Raw genomic sequence first — 23,886 nt, 5'->3', positions numbered from 1 at the left:
CAGATTAGGGCACATGCAGGAATAACTATGTATATTGAACTGGCTAAACATATAAATATATTTTATAGAATATATTTTTATGTGATTCCCAAAAAGATAAGCAATTAGGGCCGGGCACGGTGGCTCAACGCCTGTAATCCCAGCATTTTGGGAGGCCGAGGCAGGCAGATCACCTCAGGTTGGGAGTTCGAGACCAGCCTGACCAACATGGAGAAACCCCATCGCTACTAAAAATACAAAATTAGCCGGGCATGGTGGCGCATGCCTGTAATCCCAAATACTCAGGAGGCTGAGGCAGGAGAATCACTTGAACCCGGGAGGCGGAGGTTGTGGTGAGCCGAGATCGTGCCATTCACTCCAGTCGGGGCAACAAGAGCGAAACTCTGTCTCCAAAAAAAAAAAAAAAAGAAAAGCAATTAAGTCCTTAACCTGGTTATTTACAGAGAAAAGACATTCATGTTGTGGAAATCAACCATGTATTTTTAGCTACTTCTCTCCCTTGAAATAAGGGGAGCTTAAATTTACTATTCACTAAATGCCAGATAGAAGACTAATTTAAAACATCTTTCTTTTTTATCATTTAATACATAGATTGAAGAGTAAGTCCTGGCCCCAGGCTTTGCTTTTCTGACCTCTGCCAGTCACAGTAGTGCTTTTTCTGGAAGTTCAGTCTGCTCCAACTGCAGCTTTGTGCAGGGACCCTCCGGGACTTTTCTAGTTTTGCTAGAATGCCTCATCTGCCTGTGAGCCTGGAACTGTAGAAGTCATTTTAGTTTTGTTTAGTCTTATTGTTTAATTTAAGAAAGTCTGATGTCCATGTTGCCGTAGTGGGTACATAGGACACTATCGGCTGTGAAAGAATGAAAAGCTTGTTCAGAGAAGGTCGAATGAGGACTATGTCTTCAGAAAACCTTGGGCTTAGCTGCCTGGGACAGTTTAGATCTGAGCTCAGAGGGGATTGATAGAGCAGTAGTATCTGTTGTTTTCCTTCTGCCGTTGGGAAGCTTTCTCTTAACATATAGAGACCCTGGGATGTGTGAGCATATTTATAGTAATTATAATTGTGAGACATGACCTAAGGAAGTATGTGAACTTGCTTTTGAATTTAGTTGTTTAAAAAAAAAAAGTGGAGTTTGAAAATATGAACCAGAGGAAGGCAGATCACACGGGTGGAGAGGAACGGCACTGTCTGGAGATGTATTGAGCATAGAAGGAGAGTTTGTTAGGAATTGCACACCCTGAGGGGAGAATGACACAGCCAATGTGATCTGAAAGCGACAGTACATTCATGCAGGGATGCCCACAAGCAGGTTGAGTGCACAGAAAGATAGACTCCTCATCACATTGCAGGCACTCTGCTGAATAACCCTTTGTTATATTTTGAGACTTTTCTTTTTTTTTTTTTTTTTTTTTGAGACGGAATCTTGCTCTGTCGCCAGGCTGGAGTGCAGTACATGATCTTGGCTCACTGCTCACTGCAACCTCCGCCTCCTCTGTTCAAGCGATTCTCCTGCCTCAGCCTCCTGATTAGCTGGGACTACAGGCGCACACCACCACGCCCAGCTAATTCTTGTATTTTTAGTAGAAACGGGGTTTCACCATGTTGGCCAAGATGGTCTTGATCTCTTGACCTCGTGATCCGCCCGCCTCGGCCTCCAAAAGTGCTGCAATTACAGGCGTGAGCCACGACGCCCAGCCGAGACTTTTCTCGTATAGCAGCAAAACCTAGACAGAATCTCTCCAGAGGGTAAAATATAGTGTTATTACACACATGATGATTCCAGTCAGCTGTGTTGTTTAGGGTTCTTCACTGCAAGCTATTCAAACAATGGGAAAGGGTATCTGAGGCTTTTGGAGCTGCCTGGAAGTTGAAGGACAGGGTCTGTAGCAAAGACCACACAGTAGGAAAGGGCAGGTTGGCATGCCCCTGCTGCCCCCACCCTGAAGAACTTCCAACTCCCTCGAAAGTCCTGTAGCTTCAGGACCCCAGAACTGGGTAGCACGTGTCCAAGGCTAGGCCTTCTTGTGCTCACCCCTGATTATGCCAGGGCTGGGAGAAAAGGATCTGGCCTTTCTAGCTGCTGTAGTGCAAAGCAGTCACTGCCTTCCACAAGGTAGAGACTCTCTTCTTTGGGAAGAGAGTCTGATCACAAGATAGCAAAAAAAGAAAACCAAAAAAAAGACACATGTAAACTATATCTATATTATACATATATTTATCTGCAGCTCAGTCTCTTCGCAAATATTAACGATCTTTTGCAGACAGCCTCTGTGCTTGCATAATGTTAATTTTCTTTTCCTTTAATGGTTTGTCAATTGTTTTTTAAAACAAAACAAAAAAAACCTTAGCACTCTCTTCTTAAAGTTAGTCTTTATTTTTATTAAGTTGTATGTGTTCATCATTTAAAGAATCATAGTCAGCCGGGCAAGGTGGCTCACACCTGTAATCGCAGCACTTTGGGAGGCCAAGGCAAGCGGATCACCTGAGGTCGGGAGTTTGAGACCAGCCTGAACAACATGGAGAAACCCCATCTCCAGTTAAAAATACAAAAATTAGCCGGGCATGGTGGTGCATGCCTGTAATCCCAGCTACTCAGGAGGCTGAGGCAGGAGAATTGCTTGAACCCAGGAGGTGGAGATTGCAGTGAGCCAAGATCATGCCATTGCACTCCAGCCTGGGCAACAAGAGCGAAACCATCTCAAAAAAAAAACAAAAAACACAGTCTATCTAGTTTCTAATGAAGAGCACCACTCCCTGTCCCCCTATTTTCTACTCCCCAGAGAAAACTATTTTCAATCCTTTTTAGCTTATTTATTTGGTATTCATCTTGGTATTTCTAAAAAGCAAAATGTGGCTATGTCGTAATGTTTCCATTTTAGCATTATTTATCCACTTTCCACTACGGAAAATGACAGTTTTGTTGTTTCTCAACATTTCGTGCCTGACTATCCAGATATACATACTCTTGTTCCCCCATCCTCCCAGGTAAATTATATTGGGTGTTAGCATGTGCTTTCATTGTTATGACCATATCAGCACTACTTGCAATGAAGCCATGAGTTATACTATGACTACTTTTTTCTTCCAGTACTACCTTTAATTTTTCTTGATGTCAGTACTTGGATTTTTGTCATTTGCTTAGATTTTCTGTGCTTCTCATGAATTTGACCCCAAAATCTCCCTCTAATTGTATAAATCTCCTTTCCATATAAACACACTAGGTATTCTATGAATTTTATCTTTTTAAAAGAAAATCTCTTCCTGAGCTTTGTGACCTGCTCTAGCCTGGACCCTGGACTAGTCACTCTCCAGACCTGTTAAAGAGCTATTGTCTTGGGATCTTCCTTCACTGTCACTCAGGGGACTCCCTTCAGCTGTTTCTTGCTTGCTATATCCCATGTCATCCCCTTTCTTGGTTTTCTCTGTCATTTTGATGAAGCCATATTTTCCTTAGTTTCTTAAGAAAGCAAATATTTTTTAGTTTGTTTCAGGAATTGTTTCCCTGAAAATTTTAAAGGCCCTGCTAAGTTGTCTCCTACCCTCCAGGGTTCCTTTTGAATTTGATTTATTCTGATTTTTTTTCCTATTCTGATTTGACCCTTTGTATAATGACTTGTTTAACCTCTGGAAGCTTTTCGCTTTTCTTTATCTTTGATATTCTGTAAATGCACTAATGATGTGACTTGGGCATTTGCTACACCCTTTTTTTTTTTTTTTTTTTTTTTTTGAGACAGGGTTTCGCTCTTGTTGAGGCTGGAGTGCAATGGCGCAATCTCCCGGGTTCAAGTGATTCTCCTGCCTCAGCCTCCTGAGTAGCTGGGATTACAGGCAGGCACCACCACGTCTGGCTAATTTTGTGTTTTCGGTAGAGATGGGGTTTCTCCATGTTGGTCAGGCTGGTCTCGAACTCCCGACTTCAGGTGATCCGCCCGCCTCAGCCTCCCAAAGTGCTGGGATTACAGGTGAGCCATCGCTCCTGGCCTAGACACTTTCCATCTACGAAATTTTCTTGAATTAATTTATTGATGCCATCCTCCCCTCTGTTCTCTCTGTTCTACCTTTCTAGAACTTCTATTAGTTAGACACTAGAACTCTTGGACTATTCTTGGACTATAAGTTTTTGTGCCTTTACTCTCCTTTTTTTTTTTTTTTTTTTTTTTGAGACAGGGTCTCCCTCTGTCGCCCAGGCTGGAGTGCAGTCGCATGATCTCGGCTCACTGCAGCATTGATTTTGTGGACTCAGGCAATCCTCTCACCTCAGCCTCCAGAGTAGCTGGGACCACAGGCATGCACCACCATGACTTGTTAATTTTGTATTTTTGTAGAGATGGGGTTTCACCATGTTTCCCAGGCTAATCTCAAACTCCTGAGCTCAAGGAATCCACCCACCTCAGCCTCCCAAAGTGCTGGAATTACAGGTGTGAGCCACCACACTCAGCCTGCTCTCCTGTTTTCTATCCTTGCCTTTTTCGTTCTGAAAGCTTTCTTCAATTTTGTCTTTGTGTTGAGTTGTTTGGTTCTGCTATCAAAATATATGTGTTTCTAGAGTTCTTTTTTGTTCTCTGAATATTCTTTTTTAAATTGGTATTATTGACTCATTTAATGTATGAAACAATACAGAAACTAGAAAATATAAATACTTATGTTAGAAGGCATTTTCTGACAGAGAACATCAGTTAACCAGCTTCATAAGTTGTAACCTCAAACCAGAGAAATTCACCTAAAATATACAGAATTTTATTATATTAATTTTTAGTGTCTGTAAAGGTTATGTCTTATCTCTCTTTTTTAATGCTCCTTTTTAAAACTTATGTCTTTATCTGTAAGCCTCTTTATTCTTCTAAGTTACTTTTTTCTTTTAGTTTGTTTTGGTCTGTCTTTCATAATAAATGCTTTCTTAAATTTCTGTTGATACTTGGCTATCTTCTCATATTTAAAAACAGGGCACTCAGAGGCTGAGGCAGACAGATCACTTGAGGTCAGGAGTTCGAGACCAGCCTGGCCAACATGGTGAAACCCCATCTCTATTAAAAATACAAAAATAAGCTGGGCTTGGTGACGTGCTCCTATAATTCCAGCTACTCAGGAGGCTGAGGCACAAGAATTGCTTGAACCAAGGAGATGAAGGTTGTAGTGAGCCGAGATTGTGCCACTGCATTCCAGCCTGTGTGACAGAGTGAGACTCTGTTTCAAAAAAAAAAAACAGAGGGGGCCACTACAAAGCAATTTGAGAGTTCTGTGCTTGTGGGTGAAGTTTATGGACTGTGGCATTCACTATAGAGTGATCTTCATGAGTTGTTTCCTTGGGGTACATCTGATATTTGTTTCTTTAGGTATTTTATCTTGGTTGGTCAGATCCTGTTGGTAAATTTTAAATTTTGCACTATTCGTTTTCTGTCCCTTTCTTGCAGTCTCTAGGTGTGTGCAGTCTTAGGATTCTCATAGATAAAAGTAACTTCTCTAGGTTTCTGCTTCTTCCTTTAGATGTCTTTTTGACTCTCCTCACATTCTTATGTGCTTCCATGGCAATGAGCAGTTTGACAAACTTTTTAAAAAGTAAACAAGAGTTGGTGGGAGTAAACATGAGACACCTAGAATACAAAGTGGGAGTCACTTTCAGTGCCTTATTTTTCCTTAGTCATATTTGATCAGAAATTGGATGAACCTTCGGGATGCTGAGACAGGGAAGATACTCTGGCAAGGAACAGAAGACCTGTCTGTCCCTGGTGTGGAGCATGAAGGTACTTTCCAACCCTTTATCTACACAGGGCTGTGACCAATGCCAGACTAGCACCTGAGCATAAGAGAGCTAAGTTAACACATACCTAATAGGCGGGTGAGCCCCTGAAGACACAGCATGTTAATCCATGTGTTGTTGACAGTTTCAGTTACTTTCTTTTTTTTTTTTTTTTTTTTTTTTTGAGACACAGTCTTGCTCTATCACCCAGGCTGGATGGAATGCAGTGGTGTGATCTTGGCTCACTGCAACCTCTGCTTCCCAGGTTCCAGCGATTTTCATGCCTCAGCCTCCCGAGTAGCTGGGACTACAGGCGTGCGCCACCACATCTGGCTAATTTTTGTATTTTGAGTAGAGATGGGGTTTCACCATGTTGGCCATCCTGGTCTCGAACTCCGGACATCAAGTGATCTGCCCGCCTCAGCCTCCCAAAGTGCTGGGATTACAGGTGTGAGCCACCACGCCCAGCCAGTTACTTTCTTAACAGTTCTTTCTCTCACTTCCCAAAACCCATTTTGTGCTGATATTTTACCATTAGAACATACCCAAAGATAGAAACTAAGATCTCAACTTTTTCTCCAAAAGAAAATTTGCATTTTTATCTCCCTGAAGTAAAGAAGAAGGAAGGGGTTAAAATCACCAGAACAGAGTAGAGAGAAGGTACCCATGCAGCCCCCTTCCTGATGAGAGTAGTTAGATGAGGCCCTTAGATGCACAAAACCTGGTGTTCCTTGAAGATCTAATATCTTTCAGATACGGGTGACCAATTAGAGACCTCTGCTTTCAGCCACACAAAGTGTAATGCACTTACCAAGGCATTATCCAAAATGTAAGAAAGTGTTCTCTAAATCAGCTGTAAGAAAGTGTTCTCTAAATCAGCTGTAAGAAGCTCCCAGAAATTTGAAGCATCATAGTCCTGTGGTTTTCATTTAGAAAGGCTTCAACATTTGTTTTTCTCTTACCAGCCCGTGTTCCCAAGAAAATCCTCAAGTGCAAGGCAGTGTCTCGAGAACTTAATTTTTCTTCGACAGAACAAATGGAAAAATTCCGCCTGGAACAAAAAGTTTACTTCAAAGGGCAATGCCTAGAAGGTATTCTGCTGCCTACATGCCTGAAATCAGGGCTTAGGGCGACCAGGACAAAAGGCAACAATACCCAGTGAACTAAAGCAGTGCTTTGATAACATTCCTTTTACAACTCAGTTTGTGGTAGGATTCCTACACTCTGCAAGACTGTGAATCCCCAGTGAAACAAACCAAAACAAAGCTAGCCACTACAAGGGGCTTTGAGGTCTCTGACACTGGGAGCGTGGATGGTGGTGCCTGGTTTAGGCACTGACGTTGTATTGTGATATGATCATGGAGGAAGCTGCTATGAGCAGGGCCTAGTACAGTGCTCTACATACAGTATCATACAGATTTGACTGGCAAGGCCACTCTGCATTGAATTCTCACCATGCAGTGTAAAGGGCACATAAGCCCCTTCAAGCTAATTCCAAGTGAATTTAACTATGTATCTATATATAGTTCACATCTAGCCTACCTCTAAGAAAATGCTGCTTATATTGTGTCCTGCTCGCTGGTCCTAGTCCTTTAGACCTCAAAGCATGAGAAGCAAGCCTTTGGTGTGGTTCAGAGGACAACCTGAGCAGGCTTCCCTGTCTTTTTTACGCCCCTGGTCTGAGAGGTTGCTGATAGCTTCCTTTGGTGGTTCTCAGGGTAGGAAGAGGCTCACTCTAGAGAGGGAGACAAAGAGCCCTTAAACTTTATACTGGGGCACCTGCTCACCCCGGCTTTTCCTTCTTCCTTCAGAATGGTTCTTCGAGTTTGGCTTTGTGATCCCTAACTCCACAAATACCTGGCAGTCCTTGATAGAGGCAGCACCCGAGTCCCAGATGATGCCAGCAAGCGTCTTAACGTGAGTGAGCAGGTCTCAGGAAATTATGAAGTGTGTCTAGAAACAGGCATTCCAGGCAGGTGGGACTCCTGGTGCCATTCAGTGGGCAGAGAGCTCGGTTGAGAAATAGAGTAAAAGAGTATCCAAGGGTATCTAGGTTTCCAGGTTCCTGACCTTTTTCATATGAAAAAGACAGTATGATAGAGTAGAAAGAATAAAAAACTAAAAATAAAAATAAAACTTTAGATTAAACCAGATTTAAATTCCTGATTCACCCTGACTACCTGTGTCATCTTGGGCACTAATATACTTTATCTCTCTGAGCCTTAGTCTTTCATCTCTAAACACAGAAATTAATTCTGTCTTACAGAGGTGTAATGAAGATAAAATGTGATGACATGGAAGGAGACTGGCATTTAATATATATACCGAATCTATGTTAATTTGCTCCCATTCCTGACTACCGTACTTCCGGTATCTCTGTATTTTGTTTAGATCACCTTTAACAGAATCTGGCAAAGTCCTATTAATAATTCTGTTTTCGAGGATACTACTTGGTTACAGTTTTTTGGAGAATGGCTTACCATATTAATAGCTTTGGTTCCTGTTCCAAGAACAATTTGTTTGTGCTTTTTCCAAAAACACTGTCAATAACTTCCTACCTCCCATTGTCTGTGGGAAAGATGTTAGTCTCTCAAATGTTATAGTAATAGTACCTTCTAAAGAGTTAGCTGGGCGTAATGGCACACACCTGTAATCCCAGCTACTCAAGAAGCTGAGATAGGAGAATTGCTTGAACCCAGGAGGTGGAGGTTACAATGAGCCAAGATCATGTCACTGCATTCCAGCCTGGGTAGCAGACCAAGACTCTATTTCAAAAAAAAAAGAGTTAGTCCCACAGATAATTGTGTAATATTGGATCATCTCTTTCAACAGTTCCTTTATGAAAGCCATATTGAATTTGTTAAAAATTGAGGTTATTGACTTTAAGGTTTTTTGTTTTTGTTTTGGGTTTTGTTTATTTTATTTTTTTAAAAAACAGGGTCTTGCCATGTTGCCCAGGCTGGACTCCAACTCCTGGGCTCAAGTGATCTTCCTAGCTCAGCCTCCTAAGTAGGTGAGACTACAGGCATGTGCCACCATGCCTGTCTCTACTTTTTAAGTTTTTTTTTTTTTTTTTGAGACAGAGTCTCGCCCTGTCACCCAGGCTGGAGTGCAGTGGCGTGATCTCAGCTCACTGCCAGCTCCGCCTCCCAGGTTCAAGCAACTCTCCTGTCTCAGCCTCCCAAGTAGCTGGGATTACAGGCATACACCACCACACCGGTTAATTTTTTTTTTGTATTTTTAGTAGAGACAGGGTTTCACCATATTGGTCAAGCTGGTCTCGAACTCCTAACCTCGGGTGATCCACCCGCCTCAACCTCCCAAAGTGCTGGGATTACAGGCATGAGCCACCGTGCCCAGCCCCTTTTTAAAGTTTTTAATAGTTTTTTTAACAGCCAGGTGTGGTGACACTTTCCTATAATCCTAGCTACTTGGGAAGCTGAGGCGGGAGGATTGCTTGAGTCCAAGAGTTTGAGACTAGCTTGGGCAACATAGATTTTGTAAGAGGCTGGGCGCAGTGGCTCACACCTGTAATCCCAGCACTTTGGGAAGCCAAGTCGGGTGGATCACGAGGTCAGGAAATCGAGACCATCTTGGCTAACACAGTGAAACCCCATCTCTACTAAAAATACAAAAAATCAGCTGGGCATGGCGGCACACGCTTGTAGTCCCAGCTACTCGGGAGGCTGAGGCAGGAGATCACTTGAATCTGGGTGCCGGAGGTTGCAGTGAGCCGAGATCACGCCTCTGCACTCCACCCTGGGTGACAGGGCGAGACTCCACCTCAAAAAAAAAAAAAAATTGTAATAGAATTTTTTAAAGTTTTAATAGTTTTAAAAGTAGATTTTTTTTTTTTTTTTTTGATATGGAGTCTCGCTCTGTTGCCCAGGCTGGAGTGCAGTGGCAAGATCTCGGCTCACTGCAAGCTCCACCTCCCAGGTTCCCATCTTTCTCCTGCCTCAGCCTTCCGAGTAGCTGGGACTACAGGCACCCGCCACCACGCCCAGCTAATTTTTCGTATTTTTAGTAGAGACGGGGTTTCACCATGTTAGCCAGGATGGTCTCGATCTCCTGACCTCGTGATCCGCCCGCCTCGGCCTCCCAAAGTGCTGGGATTACAGACGTGAGCCACCGTGCCTGGCCTAAAAGTAGATTTTTTAATTACAGTAGTAGCTATTTTTATATCTTATCAGCCAGTCAGATTCTGAGTACCTTATTTACCTGTTTTTTGGGGTTTTTTTTTTTGTTTTTTTTTTTGAGACGGAGTCTCGCTCTGTCGCCCAGGCTGGAGTGCAGTAGCATGATCCCAGCTCACTGCAACCTCCGCCTCCCAGGTTCACGCCATTCTCCTGCCTCAGCCTCCTGAGTAGCTGAGACTACAGGCACCCGCCACCACGCCCGGCTATTTTTTTTTTTTTATATTTTTAGTACAGACGGGGTTTCACCATGTTAGCCAGGATGGTCTCGATCTCCTGACCTCATGATCTGCCCGCCTCAGCCTCCCAAAGTGCTGGGATTACAGGCATGAGCCACCATGCCCGGCCTATTTACCTGTTTTATAATTAATTACCAGCAGAAATGTATCTGCTGGTTATTAATTACCCTGGGAAAGTACAGAGTAGTTTAGGAAAGCAGGGGTTTTTTTTTTTTAGATTTTATTAAACTTCATTTGACTTCTTCTTCACGAGGCGTGATTTTTTGTTGCTGTTTTTTTTTGAGACGGTCTCGCTCTGTCTCAAACCTATCATAAGATGAAAATATCATAAGTCAAAAATGCATTTAATATCCCCATAAATCCACTATAAAGTTGAAAGATCATAAGTTGATTCATTATAAGTAGGGAACCAACTATACTTAACTTTTTATTTTTTATTTTTTTTTATTTTTTTTGAGACAGAGTCTCGCTCTGTCGCGGAGGCTGGAGTGCAGTGGCGTGATCTCGGCTCACTGCAAGCTCCGCCTCCCGGGTTCCCACCATTCTCCTGCCTCAGCCTCCCGAGTAGCTGGGACTATAGGCGCCCGCCACCACGCCTGGCTAATTTTTTTGTATTTTTAGTAGAGACAGGGTTTCACCCTGTTTAGCCAGGATGGTCTCAATCTCCTGACCTTGTGATCCGCCCACCTCGGACTCCCAAAGTGCTGGGATTACAGGCATGAGCCACCGTGCCCGGCTACTTAACTTTTTAGAACCCCCAAAAACAGTTGCCCTAAACTCAGCTCAAGTGTGATTTGGTAAGGCCATGGTCTCTCCCATTTTACAAATGGGAGCACCGAGATACCCACCAAGAAAAATGAAATTCTTCCCTCACACCTCACAATACAGGTGCATCATTTAGTGTTCTGTAGTTGTAAGTCATAGAAACAGGCTCTGGCTAATACAAGAGCTGAAAGACTAAGGGGGAGAGCTGGGCGGCTTGGAAGATGCAGATGGGCAGGAATCCCTGGATGGCTTCCTCAAGGAGAAGCTACAGGAAGGATCTTGCTCAAGAGAAAGAGTCTGATTGGCCTAAGTTACATCCTCTGTTCACCCTTTTGCCAGGTGAGTGAGGGGCCACTCACTTGGCACATGGACTGGAGGAAGGGTGGTTCCCAAATGAAGAGCAAGGTGCTGTTACCCAAAGGCAGGAAAATAGATGTGGGCCAGGCCAAAGCCCACCTTTCGACTATTGTGAGTACTGTAGGGAAGGATACTGCCCCTGAGGTCTGCAGGCTTCTATATGTAAGCCAGCCAGAGGTGTCCATGAATGCAGTATCAGAAAGTCAGTCGGATCTATAAGCACCCTGTGTGCAGAGCACTCTACTAAGGGCTTTAGAGTGTACCAAGGAGTGGAGACATGCTCTCACTTCTGATTTGTGAGCTTGACAGGGATGAATGTAACCACATAAGTTAAATGTCATGTTAGACTTGTAGCCCCATATAGACAAGGATTTTAATGTCCCCAAGCTAAGACTCTGGGTGGGTGCATGTCCATTGGCCCAGGAATCCAGATGGAAACCACTTTGTGGAAATGAAATCTTGTGCCTAACATGCTCACTCTCTTTTGCCCTCTGTTTCTCTTCTTACTTACAGTGGGAACGTTATCATAGAAACAAAGTTTTTTGACGACGATCTTCTTGTAAGCACATCCAGAGTGAGACTTTTCTATGTTTGAAAGAAGAATGTGTGTACATTTCAAGAATTTGGGTTTTTTGGAGGGAGGAGGAAACTGTTTACTTTTTTCCTCCACACGTTTGATTTTTGACACATACACCCCTAATTCCCTCAACAGCAGAACCTACCTGCAGCCACCAGGGGACCAGCTCTGTGTAGGTAACCAGATGGCTCTTTTTCCCAAGCCACCATCTTCCAGCTGACCAGACTAAACTCCCAACCCCAGACCAGGGCAGGGGACAGGTCTCAAGTCCTTCCCAGCATACACACAGGGAACAAACACATACCACAAACCGGTAACTGTACCTGTCACCCTCCTTGTCTCCTCCTTGGGCCCTACAGGCTACACATCTACCTTTGGCCCCTGGTTTTGGAAAAATTCCGTGTTCCTGACCCATGTTTAGTTTTTTCCTACCATTTCTATTTCATACATTCTCATACATTTAACTTGTAAAATAGACTGTGATATTATTACATAATGTAATTAAAAATATGAATTAAAATATTCCTACAGTCTTTAGCATGGCACTGCTTTTATCTCTCCTTTTTCTGGAAAGTGAACCTGGCTGCATAATGGAAAGAAACCAAATATAAGATCACAACTGTATTTCACTCCAGGAATGGAACTGATAGATCTTGTTCCCTAGTGCCACAGTTACTGCTTTCCAAAATTGTGCAACATACTTGAACCAAACCCATGACCTTAACATTTGTCTTTTAGACACAATCTTTAATGGTTCTTTTCCACAACATACATGCACCCTTTGTTTGTTTATTATTGTTAATTTTTTCTATTTGTTTACAGTATTCATTTGTTCAAGAAGTTTCAAGAAAGGGCAATTCTAAGTTAGTAGAGTAGGGACTCTCATATTCCTAAATGAGACTAGAAGCTACAAAATGAAAAGATCTGCATGAACCTAACTGGAGAATGATGGGAAGGCGTCTGGGCTGGGAGGAGGCTGGGAGGCCTTTAAGACTGTCGTCATTGGAAGCCAGCGTGGGAGAGAAGGGATTACAACTGGCAGTGCTTTCAGGTCCGACATAAGAGAGAACACCAAAAAGTGTTCTTACCTCTGAGCTACTAGTAGCCTTCAGTGTCTTTTTTTGTTGTTTTGTTTTGAGACAGAGTCTCACTCTTGTTGCCCAGGTTGGAGTCCAATGGCGGGATCTCAGCTCACTGCAACCTCTGCCTCCTGGGTTCAAGCAATTATCCTGCCTCAGCCTCCCGAGTAGCCCGTCACCACACCTGGCTAATTTTTTTGTAATTTTAGTAGAGACAGAGTTTCACCATGTTGGCCAGGCTGGTCTCGAACTCCTGACCTCAGGTGATCCGCCTGGCTCGGCCTCCCAAAGTGCTGGGATTACAGGCATGAGCCACCGCTCCCAGCATGCCTTCACTGTCTTTTATAAAATACCAACAATTACATGTTTTCAAGTTACCAAAGCAGTAAGGTCTGAGGCCAGAGGACAGAACACATCAAAGGTATGGCTCTCTTTGGTGTAGCTCTTGCTCTCAGATTCCTCTTTTCCTTTTCTCTCTATTACCTGAGTCTGTTTGCATCTGCGGGTGGGGAGGAGAAACCGTATATTTTTAGTGTACTACCATCTTTCAATGATGATTCAATTCCTCATATTAGATCTGTTGTCTTCAAAAGCTGTTTTTTATTAATTTTATTTATTTATTTATTTATTTAGAGACAGAATCTTGCTCTGTCACCCAGGCTGGAGTGCAGTGGCATGATCTCGGCTCACTGCAACCTCCACCTCCTGGGTTCAAGCAATTCTCCTGTCTCAGCCTCCCAAGTAGCTGGGATTACAGGCACACACCACCACGCCGGTTAATTTTTTTTTTTTTTGTATTTTTAGCAGAGACAGGGTTTCACCATATTGGTCAGGCTGGTCTCAAACTCCTGACCTCAGGTGATCCACCCCCCTCGGCCCCCCAAAGTGCTGGGATTACAGGCATGAGCCACCATGCCCGGCCCAAAAGCTATTTTTTAAATACCAAAGTTTGGATGGAAAAACAAGTTGGGGTAACCCCAGCAATTTAGGAGACCAAGGCGGAAGGATCGCTTGAGCCTGGGGGTTCGAGACGAGCCTGGGCAACAATGGTAAAACCCAGTCTCTACAAATGATAATACATAAATTATCCAGGCATGGAGGTGTGTGCCTGTAGTCCTGACTACTCGGGAGGATGAGGCAGGAGGATTGCTTGAGCCCAGGAGGCAGAGGTTGCAGTGGGTTGAGATCGTGCCACTGCACTCTGGCGTGGGTGACAAAGCAAGACCCTGTCTCAAAAAAAAAAAAGAAAGAAAGAAAAGAAACGAAAAGAAAAGAAAAGAAAAAACACAGCCGGGCATGGTGGCGGGCGCCTGTAGTCCCATCTACTCAGGAGGCTGAGGCGGAGGTTGCAGTGAGCCAAGATCATGCCACTGCACTCCAGCCTGGGCAACAGAGCGAGACTCCGCCTTGGAAAAAAAAAAAGAAAGAAAAAAACAAGGTGAAAATGAATTGCTTTATTGTTTATTTATCTATTTATTTATTCTTTTTAGAGACAGAGTCTCTCTGTGTCACCCAGGCCAGAGTGCAGTGGCATACTAGCTTCACAAGAGCCTCAAACTCCTGGACTCAAGAGATCCTCTAACCTTAGCCTCCCGAGTAGCTGGGACTACACATGTGTGCCACCATGCCCAGCTAATTTTTAAAAATCTTTTTTTTTTTTTCTGAGACAGAGTTTCACTCTGTCGCCCAGGCTGGAGTGCAGTGATGCGACCTCAGCTCACTGCAACCTCTGCCTCCCAGGTTCAAGCAATTCTCCTGCCTCAGCCTCCTGAGTAGCTAGGATTACAGGCGCACACCACCACATCCAGCTAATTTTTGTATTTTTAGTAGAGACGGGGTTTTACCATGTTGGTCAGGCTGGTCTTGAACTCCTGACCTCGTGATCCACCCACCTCAGCCTCCCAAAGTGTTGGGATTACAGGCGTGAGCCACCGCGCCCAGCCTGAATTACCTTCTTAAAATGCCATCTCTTTTTCTCAGAGTGAACCCATCTCCTCTTTGCTAAACCATATCTGCTCCCCATAATTCCATCAAGGAATGTTCTCATGGTACTCTACACACTGTAGTGGAGAAAGGACTTCCCAGAGAATGCTTCTCCACTCACTCATCTGTCCAAAACAGTCAGACACGCTTCTTGCTAGCTGCTCTGAGAAAAATAGAAAGTGTGTGCTTCAGGGACAGTACTGACTAGGGGCTCCAAGTAGTGTGGGTGGGATTTGAACTGGTGGGGAGGAAGGCTGAATGCTAGGAGAAGGAGGGAATTGGCGCAGGCCTAAGTAAACACAAGCAAAAGGAGAGGACAGGAGAACTGTAGGGACTAGGACCCTTGTGAAGTCAAAGTCAGCTCTTGCATGGTGGGCCTTAATGCAGGCCCAGATGCCTGGAGATGCAGCTTTTTCTGGATACACTGAAGGCTGCAGAATGTTCCTGGAAAGAGACTCATATAGACCAGGCCTGGCACAGTCTATGGCCACTGATTTTCAAATCAATGATGGGCATCTCCCTGCCCCACCCGGCTCCCAGAGAGTCTGATCAGTAGGTGTGAGGCCCAGAAATCTGCACCCTAAAGCCGCCAGGTGACTCCGATGCAGGTGGTCTATGGACCATGCTTTGAGAAATACTGGTAGAGGCATTTAATATGTGTTAGAGACATAGATGTGTACATGAGGATGGCTGCAGGACAGACTGAGGTCTCCAAGCAGCTTGCTTAAGGAACAGAGTCCCATCTCTGACCTGTACAAGCTGAGAGGGATTGTTCACCTGCTCAGGGCAATCAAGAGGAGCTTAAGAGTCTGTGTTGGGGAGGAGAAAGGGGGAAGAATCCCAGGCCGCACAGCCTTGGAGAAGGAAACTTGCAAGAAAGAATATAGATTTCTATTTAGAGAATTTTGGTTAAACTTTGCTGTGTAATATGCAATACACCCTCGCATCAGTACCCCCATTATGTTTCTTGCCAGTGTTTTGAGTATTGGGCTTTTGTGATGGGGAATGTGATGAAGTACCGAGTCTGGCCCTCGTTAGGCAGGAAAGTCTTCCAAAGGGGATATAGCCACATTCAGGCCACACTGATAGGCCTATTATACCCACTAATAAGATGCTGTGCTAGGCACAAGCTTACCTTTATTGAGTTTGTCTGTAGTAGGAGGATACAACAAATAATTACCAGAAATGCCATAAGAGGCTTGGGGCGGTGGCTCATGCCTGCAATCCCAGCACTTTGGGAGGCTGAGGCGGGTGGATCACGTGAGGTCAGGAGTTTGAGACCAGCCTGGCCAGTATGGTGAAACCCCGTCTCTACGGGAAAAAAAAAAATATCTGGGCGTGGTGGCAGGCACCTATAATCCCAGCTGTTCAAGAGGCTGAGGCAGGAGAATCGCTTGAACCCGGGAGGTGGAGGTTGCAGTGAGCCAAGATTGTACCACTGCACTCTAGCCTGGGTGACAAGAGCAAAACTGCATCTCAAAAAAAATAAAATAAAATAAAAAGCTGGGCACGGTGACTCATGCCTGTAATCCCAGCACTTTGGGAGGCCAAGGCGGGCGGATCACGAGGTCAGGAGTTCGAGACCAGCCTGGCCAACACAATGAAACCCCGTCTCTACTAAAAATACAAAAAATTAGCTGGGCATGGTGGCAGGTGCCTATAATCCCAGCTACTCAGGAGGCTGAGACAGGAGAATAGCTTGAACCCAGGAGGCGGAGGTTACAGTGAGCTGAGATTGTGCCACTATACTCCAGCCTGGGCGACAGAACTAGACTCCTTCTCACAAAAAAAAAAAAAAAAAATGCCATAAGAGAAATACCAGTTAGAAATTTAAAGGAAGAGGAGATTATGCTCAAGACAAAATCGGAAAAGCCTTTTCTCCAGATCCTTCAACCCTCAGCCCACAAAACATGTTCAAATCACCTTAAAAAATAAATTTCTAAAAATAAGACTTCTCTTCAATCCTGCATGGCCTTCAGCTCCTGCCCTAGTCCTTCTCTTTCTCTGCAGATCCAAACTTGGAATTGTCTTCACTCACGCTTCCCACTCCTCTCATCCATTCCTCAAACACTGCCATCTGGCTCTGGCCCCACCCCTTTGTCGGGCCCCTTCAAGTCCTTGCTTTCTCTGCTGCATCTGATTCTTCTGACGTCTGCTGGGTTTCCCTTCTCCTTAGATTCTGGGAGCCCCTCTTCTGGGTGTTCTGCTCCTTCCTCATCTGTAGGCTCTTCATTTTTCTTCCAGCTGCCTCGTCCCAAAAATGTTTTAGATTTTCTTTTTTAGTTGTAGTGTATTGAGAAGATGCTATGTGCCAATTCTTTAAGCATTACGCATTTACTCCACACACATTTACTGACCACTTTTTATACTCCAGACACTGTTCTAAGCGGTGGAGATAACTTACTAGACGAGATGAATGAGGGCCCTATTTTACCATTAGATTTTTTTGTTTGTTATAGATGGAGTTTCGCTCTTGTTGTCCAGGCTGGAGTGCAGTGGCGTGGTCTCAGCTTACTGCAAATTCGTCCTCCCGGGTTCAAGCAATTCTTCTGCCTCAGCCTCCCAAGTAGCTGGGATTACAGGCGCCTGCCACCACGCCTGCCTAATTTTTGTATTTTTAGTAGGGACGGGGTTTTACCATGTTGGCCAGGCTGGTCTTGAACTCCTGACCTCCTGATCCACCCACCTCAGCCTCCCAAAGTGCTGGGATTACAGGCGTGAGCCACCATGCCCAGCCAATCTCCCATTAGATTTTAATGGGAGGAGACAGAAGGCAAATAAATAATTTCGATAGTGATCAGTGTTCTGAAGAAAACAAGACAGTGCAATGACAGCATCAGTCTGGAGTGAGGGGGTATAGAAACTGAAAGAAGTCAAGGCCAGGCATGGGTGGCTCACAACTATAATCCCAACACTTTGGGAGGCCAAGGGGGAGGATCACTTGAGGCCAGGAGTTCGAAACCAGCCTGGGCAACATAGCAAGACCCTGTCTGTATTTTTTTTTTTAATAAACAAATGAAAGAAGTCAACATTCAGCAATTGACTTCCAAAACAGGATTTTTGAGTCTCCAGCACAAAACAGGATTTTTGAGTTTCCAGATTTTCTTCTGGAAAGCCAGGCTTTACTCAGAAAGAAAAGAGTTTTTAAATCTCTTAAACTGACATCAACATGGCAAGAACCAGGGGTACCATACTTGATTACCTGTTGAATACAGAGAACTCAGGCTACAACGTGAGGGAAATCCCTGCGTTATAGGAGGAGGTGAAAGCCCTCCCCTTGCAGCCTAGAGTAGGATGGAGAAGAGAAATGAGGAAGAAGTCGGGCAAAGAGGTCAAGTGTCCTTGCTTTCCTTCACTCCCAGTCACGGGTGAGAGGGGTGGCTGGATACATCCACCCAGGTGGGCATGGGCTGTCTCCATTCTCCTTGCCCTACTGCCCCACAGCCCAGTAGACCCTAGCCCGTTGACCTCACTTCATAAACATCTTGTTCGGGTCCTCGCCATCCCCACGGGCCCCACCTCAGGTCCTGTAACCATCTCAGGACTGCAGCACGGGCCTCCCTTCCTGACTTACCCTCCACATCACAGCCAGAAAGAACAAGCTAAGGTGCAATCTGATCACCAGCCCTGCTAGCTACAATACTGTCCTATACCTGTGGGACAGTACTTTAAGCCTGTATTGTCAAGTTTATTTTTAGAACTTCTTGCTAGTGACCTGGTAATTGTTGCACAGCTTTCAAAACACACTGTTAAAATGGTCCTCAAAGTGAAGACATAATCAGGCTTAGCAATTCTCTTTGGTGATTTTATTTGATCTGTAACCAAGCAGCTTCAGCTGTAGCTTTAAATAAACTGAGGGGTGGAGCCGGGTGAGAATCGGGGATTTGGTGAAGATGTTTCGTTCCCAGGGCACTTCCACAAACTCACAGGGAGGCCGCAGGATTTTTTTAATTTTCAAAGAAAATACAGTGGCACTGAACATCTGTCCTATTAATGCTTAACTATTAGCTAAGATTGTTAAGTTTCAAATTAGGCTGTGCTGCATTCTCTTTGATGAAATATCTGGGAAGCTGAGCTTGCGGAGGTTTGGGTGATAAGAAGCAAGAACCCAGAGAAAATCAACTTGAACAGGAGATGAGGGTGGTGGCGTCCGTTCGGATTCCAAGGTACAAAAAGCTGTGCAGTGCCTAACAGGCACACACACCCCATTAGTAAGTCATTCGTTGTAATCAAAAATGAAATTAGGCCGGACGCGGTGGCTCATGCCTGTAATCCCCACACTTTGGGAGGCGGGTGGATCACTTGAGGCCAGGAGTTCAAGACCAGCCTGGCACAGTGAAACCCCGTCTCTACCAAAAAATACAAAAATTAGCTGGGTGTGGTGAGGCATGTGCCTCTAGCCCCAGCTACTTGGGAGGCTGAGGCAGGAGAATCGATTGAACCTGGGAGGTGGAGGTTACAGTGAGCTGAGATCACACCACTGCACTTTAGCCTGAGCAACAGAGTGAGCCCGTCTCAAAAAAAAAAAAAAAAAAAAATTTCTCAATTTATGTGGCTTCTTTTCTCCAAAATAATATGACAAGCTACTAAGGGCAGAAATGCTTCATAAGTTGTTTGAACCTAACTAACTAAAGAGGAGTTGGATATTTATTTTGGCATAAAAGTTACTGAAACACTAAGATTGCTGTGAACAGAGAAAGTTGGGGGACCTCTGTTAAGCTCTTAGTTTAAAGACATATTTGTCTTGAAGGACGAGGCACCAGGGCTTACACCTGCAATCCCAGCACTTTGAGAGGCCGAGGCAGGAGGATTGCTTGAGCCCAAGAATACAAGACCAGCCTGGGGAACAAAGCAAGATCCCGTCTCTGCAAAAAAAAATTTGTTTTAAATTAGCTGGGCATGGTGACACACACCTGTGGTCCCAGCTATTTGCAAAGCTGAGACAGGAGGATCACTTGAACTCAGGAAGTTGAAGCTGCAGTGAGCCATGTTCATGCCACTGCACACCACCCTAGGCAACAGAGTGAGATTCCCGTCTCAAAAAAACAAAATGTCTTTCAGAGGGTTAAAAACATATACTCAGCTGGGCACGGTGGCTCCCTGCTGTAATCCCAGCACTTTGGGAGACGGAGACGGGATTGCTTGAGATCAGGAGTTCGAGATGAGCCTGGGCAACATGGTGAAACCCCCTCTCTACAAAAAATACAAAAATTAGCTGGGCGTGGTGGTGCACACCTGTAGTCCCAGCTACTCAGGAGTCTGAGGCGAGAGGATCGCTTAAGCCTGGGAGGCAGAGGTTGCGGTGAGCCGAGATCACTCCACTGCACCCCAGCCTGGGTGACAAAGTGAGACCCTGTCTCAAGAAAGAAACATACACTCATCACCATCACTGGCAGCTGTAGCAACAAATGGGTATTGACCACTCACTTCTGAGCTCTGAAGCAGCTCTTGGTTCAATGGAATGCTTTTGAATTCTTGCACTTATTAAAGGAAATGCATTCAACGGAAAAGGCATCTAGTCAGATATCTTAGAATGGCTTCTTAAGTGAACTGACTTACTCAAATCATCCCCTAAATAACTCTTCTCTGTTATAAGAGGATAAGCAAAGTTATTGTCACTTGAATGCTTTATATATATTATATTATTTCATTTTGAGCTAAATTATGTGCATTTGAGATATAATATGCTATCTGAATATTTTATGGGTCACAAGGTGCCCTGGCATAATCCAGTGGAGATGATTGGTCTACTTGTTTACAGAACTTAAAATTACATTTTATTGTTTTATGTTATTAAACAGTTCAATCATGATCATTTCTTTTCTTTATGATACACTGTTGGCCATGCATATTGTTTACTTGAGGTCTAGCCCTCAGTCAGGTTTAGAATCTAAATAATCTCCTCTGGCAGGTATATACTAACTTTTAATTGGCTTATATTCAGCAACAAGCTGAATATAATTTAACAGATATTGAAAAATTTGAATAATATTCATTTGGTAAAATTAGGCTAAGATTATAACGTTTTTCTTGGAGGATTCCAAGAAAGTAAAAGCAGACTTACTTAAAAATAGACATTTTCAGCCAGGCACAGTGGCTCATGCCTGTAATCCCAGCACTTTGGGAGGCCGAGGCAGGCGGATCATGAGGTCAGGAGTTCAAGACCAGCCTCACCAACATAGTCAAGCCCTGTCTCTACTAAAAATACAAAAACTAGCCGGGCATGGTTGCACACGCCTGTAATCCCAGCTACTACTCAGGAGGCTGAGGCAGGAGAATCGCTTGAACCTGGGAAGGGGAGGCTGCAGTGAGCCAAGATTGCGCCATTGTACTCCAGCCTGGGCGACAGAGGGAGACTCCATCTCAAAAAAAAAAAAGTAGACGTTTTATGATACTAAAATAATTTGACAACCAGAGTGATCCTCAAACATTTGTAGGCTACAAATGATGTTATAGCACCAAATTCTAGAACCTCAATTGTGGATTTAATGGTATTTCTGGAGGAGATACACAGTGATATTCTAAGGAAAACCATGCCTCTGCACACAGGCATCTCCTTGGCCTCTTACCTGAGAAGGCAAAAAGCCACTGGGACGGCCACATCAAAAACATGTCATTGCACAAGAGGCTACCGGTAAAAGTTAAGTTGCTGTTTTTGATTTCTCTTTAATTTTTTAAATGTTTGTAAGAGTCGGGTTGCACTATGTTGCCCAGACTGGTCTCAAACTCCTGGGCTCAAGCAGTGCCCCCACCTTGGCCTCCCAAGGTGCTGGGATTACAGGCATGAGCCCACCGTGCCCAACCAGTTTGTTATTTTGGTAGGCCCTGGGCAGTCCTACCTCAGTCTCTCCTCCCAGTCCCCCCTCCAGTCCCCTCAGTCCCTTCTCTGTATCCCCCTGCTATAGTCTGAATGTTGGTGTCCCCGCCCAAAATTCCTATGTCTCCCCAAGGAGACAGTGTTAGGAGGTGGGGCCTTTGGGAGGTGATTAGGCCATGGAGGTGGAGGCTTCATGAATGGGATTAGTGCCCTTATAAAAAGAGACACCAGAGAGCACCCTCCCCCTTTCCACCATGTGAGGACGCAGCAAAGAGGCATCATCCATGGGCCAGTAAGCAGCCTTCACCCAACGGCAAGTGTGCCAGCACGCTTTTGTTTTGTTTTTGTTTTCGTAGACAGCCAGCACCTTTGATCATGGATTTCCCAAACTCCAAAACTGTGAGAAATAAATATTTGCTGGGTTGTTGTTGTTGTTGTTGTTGTTGTTTTGAGATGGAGTTTCGCTCATTGCCCAGGCTGGAGTCCAATGGTGCAATCTCGGCTTGCTGCAACCTCAGCCTCCTGGGTTCAAGTGATTCTCCTGCCTCAGCCTTCCGAGTAGCTGGGATTCCAGGCATCTGCCACCATGCCCAACTAATTTTTGTATTTTTAGTAGAGACAGGGTTTCACCATGTTGGCCAGGCTGATCTCGAACTCCTGACCTCAGGTGATCTGCCTGCCTCGGCCTCCCAAAGTGCTGGGATTACAGGTGTGAGCCACCGTGCCCAGCCAATATTTACTGTTTATAAGCCACCCAGTTGAAGGTATTTTGTTACAGCAGCCTGAGCTGACTGAGTCACCCCTTAGTCTCACCCCGCAGTCCCCCTCACATTCCCCCCCTCCTACCTCCTGAGTCCCCCCACAGACCCCTCAGCTCTTCCAGTGGCTGAGTCCTCTGCTATATGAGCCTCCTATGCCATAAACAGCTGGAGCTGCACCGGTCCCTGTCACACTGTGTCACCTGAGAACCCTGACCCATCCTGCCTGTAGAAGGGTTGCCAAAATCCCTGTAACCTGCAGTCACTAATCATAATGAACAGTGACAGTTGGGGGGGGCCTGTGTTTGTCCTCACCTGGAGAGGAGCAGAGCTGGTGAGCTCCGTTCCAGTCATGAGGAACCCAAAGCCTCATAGGGGAAGTTTCTTGCCTAAAGCCTCCCTCAAGTAGGGTCAGAGCCGGGCCTGTCCTGCTCCCAGCATCTTCAGGACAAGGCTGGGCATGACAGCTGTGGAGGATACGCCATCCTCTGCTGCTGCCTGTTCCCTTAGAAGTCCTTGGCTGGGATGTCATCTGATCCCTTCCATGCACCACTTTGACCTGGAGAGCAGATGGCCATTTTTTGGCTGGAGTGACCTTGAGAGCACCAGAAAGGAGGAGTGGTGAGTAAGACTGGTGGCCAGCTATGTGACAAGGTCTCAAGCAGCCACACCCCTCAGACAGCACCGTCTTTCCTCTGCTTGGAAAGGACCCAGAGAGCAGGGATGAGCGTATAGTTCCTCAGATGCTGGTGGCTTGGCACCCCAAGACACAGGCATTCTATGTTGGCATCCACTGAAGGACCTGTGTGGTCTTTGGGGCACTGTGTGGCACTAGCTGCCAGCCCATGAGGTCACTTATGTCTAAATCGTCTCTCTCTCTCCTGATCCAAGCCCCACTCCAGTCAGCCCTGAAGGGCTTGACGCCTCCCTGTGTAGTCAGCAGGGCCCTTTCTCACTGTTCTCTCCCACTGTGGTCACGTCTCTGAACTTTGGTCCATGATACATAAAAACACATTAGCCCTTTTCTACTCTTGAGAGCTTGATTTCTCATCTTGCTATGAGTAAAGAGAGTCACTTTGAAACTCAAGCTGAGCAGTGTCTTCTTGGCCCAGGCTGCGTCCTTCCCTCAGAGAATGAGACTCAAGCTCCCTGCCTAGCCCTAGTGGTGGAAGAGCTATGAGGGGAAGTGAAAGAAGTACTCAGGGGCAATAACAAGGGCAATATTGACATGTGGTTCCACTACCACTGGGTGCAGTCATACTCCAGGTCCACCTGCCCAAGAGCAGGCCCAGGTCACCCTGATTCCATTTTGAATTGTATTGAAATTCCTCAAGTACCCACTGACTGGATGTGGCAGACATCAGTTGCTTTCTCCTG

General features: G+C 45.0%; 1 protein-coding gene across 3 annotated transcripts in view; it reads left to right on the top strand.

The window, feature by feature from the left end:
* The window catches only part of PDE6D (phosphodiesterase 6D), a 48,850-nt gene extending 36,441 nt beyond the window's left edge, over nt 1-12,409 (top strand). The window contains exons 1-5 of one of the 3 annotated variants that reach the window (XM_047444726.1): nt 3,736-3,963; nt 5,640-5,742; nt 6,704-6,829; nt 7,550-7,655; nt 11,809-12,409. In XM_047444726.1, the coding sequence (XP_047300682.1) occupies nt 3,886-3,963; nt 5,640-5,742; nt 6,704-6,829; nt 7,550-7,655; nt 11,809-11,890 (495 nt within the window). In that variant the 5' untranslated portion in view covers nt 3,736-3,885 and the 3' untranslated portion in view covers nt 11,891-12,409. Of the gene's footprint in view, nt 1-3,735; nt 3,964-5,639; nt 5,743-6,703; nt 6,830-7,549; nt 7,656-11,808 lie in introns of those variants that run through there. The other 2 variants (NM_002601.4, NM_001291018.2) reach the window with 2 other exon arrangements.

This window comes from Homo sapiens, chromosome 2, assembly GCF_000001405.40.
Source record: "Homo sapiens chromosome 2, GRCh38.p14 Primary Assembly".
Taxonomy (NCBI): domain Eukaryota; kingdom Metazoa; phylum Chordata; class Mammalia; order Primates; family Hominidae; genus Homo; species Homo sapiens.
Note: the sequence above shows the minus strand (reverse complement) of the source record. Positions and strands in the feature narration are given on the sequence as shown.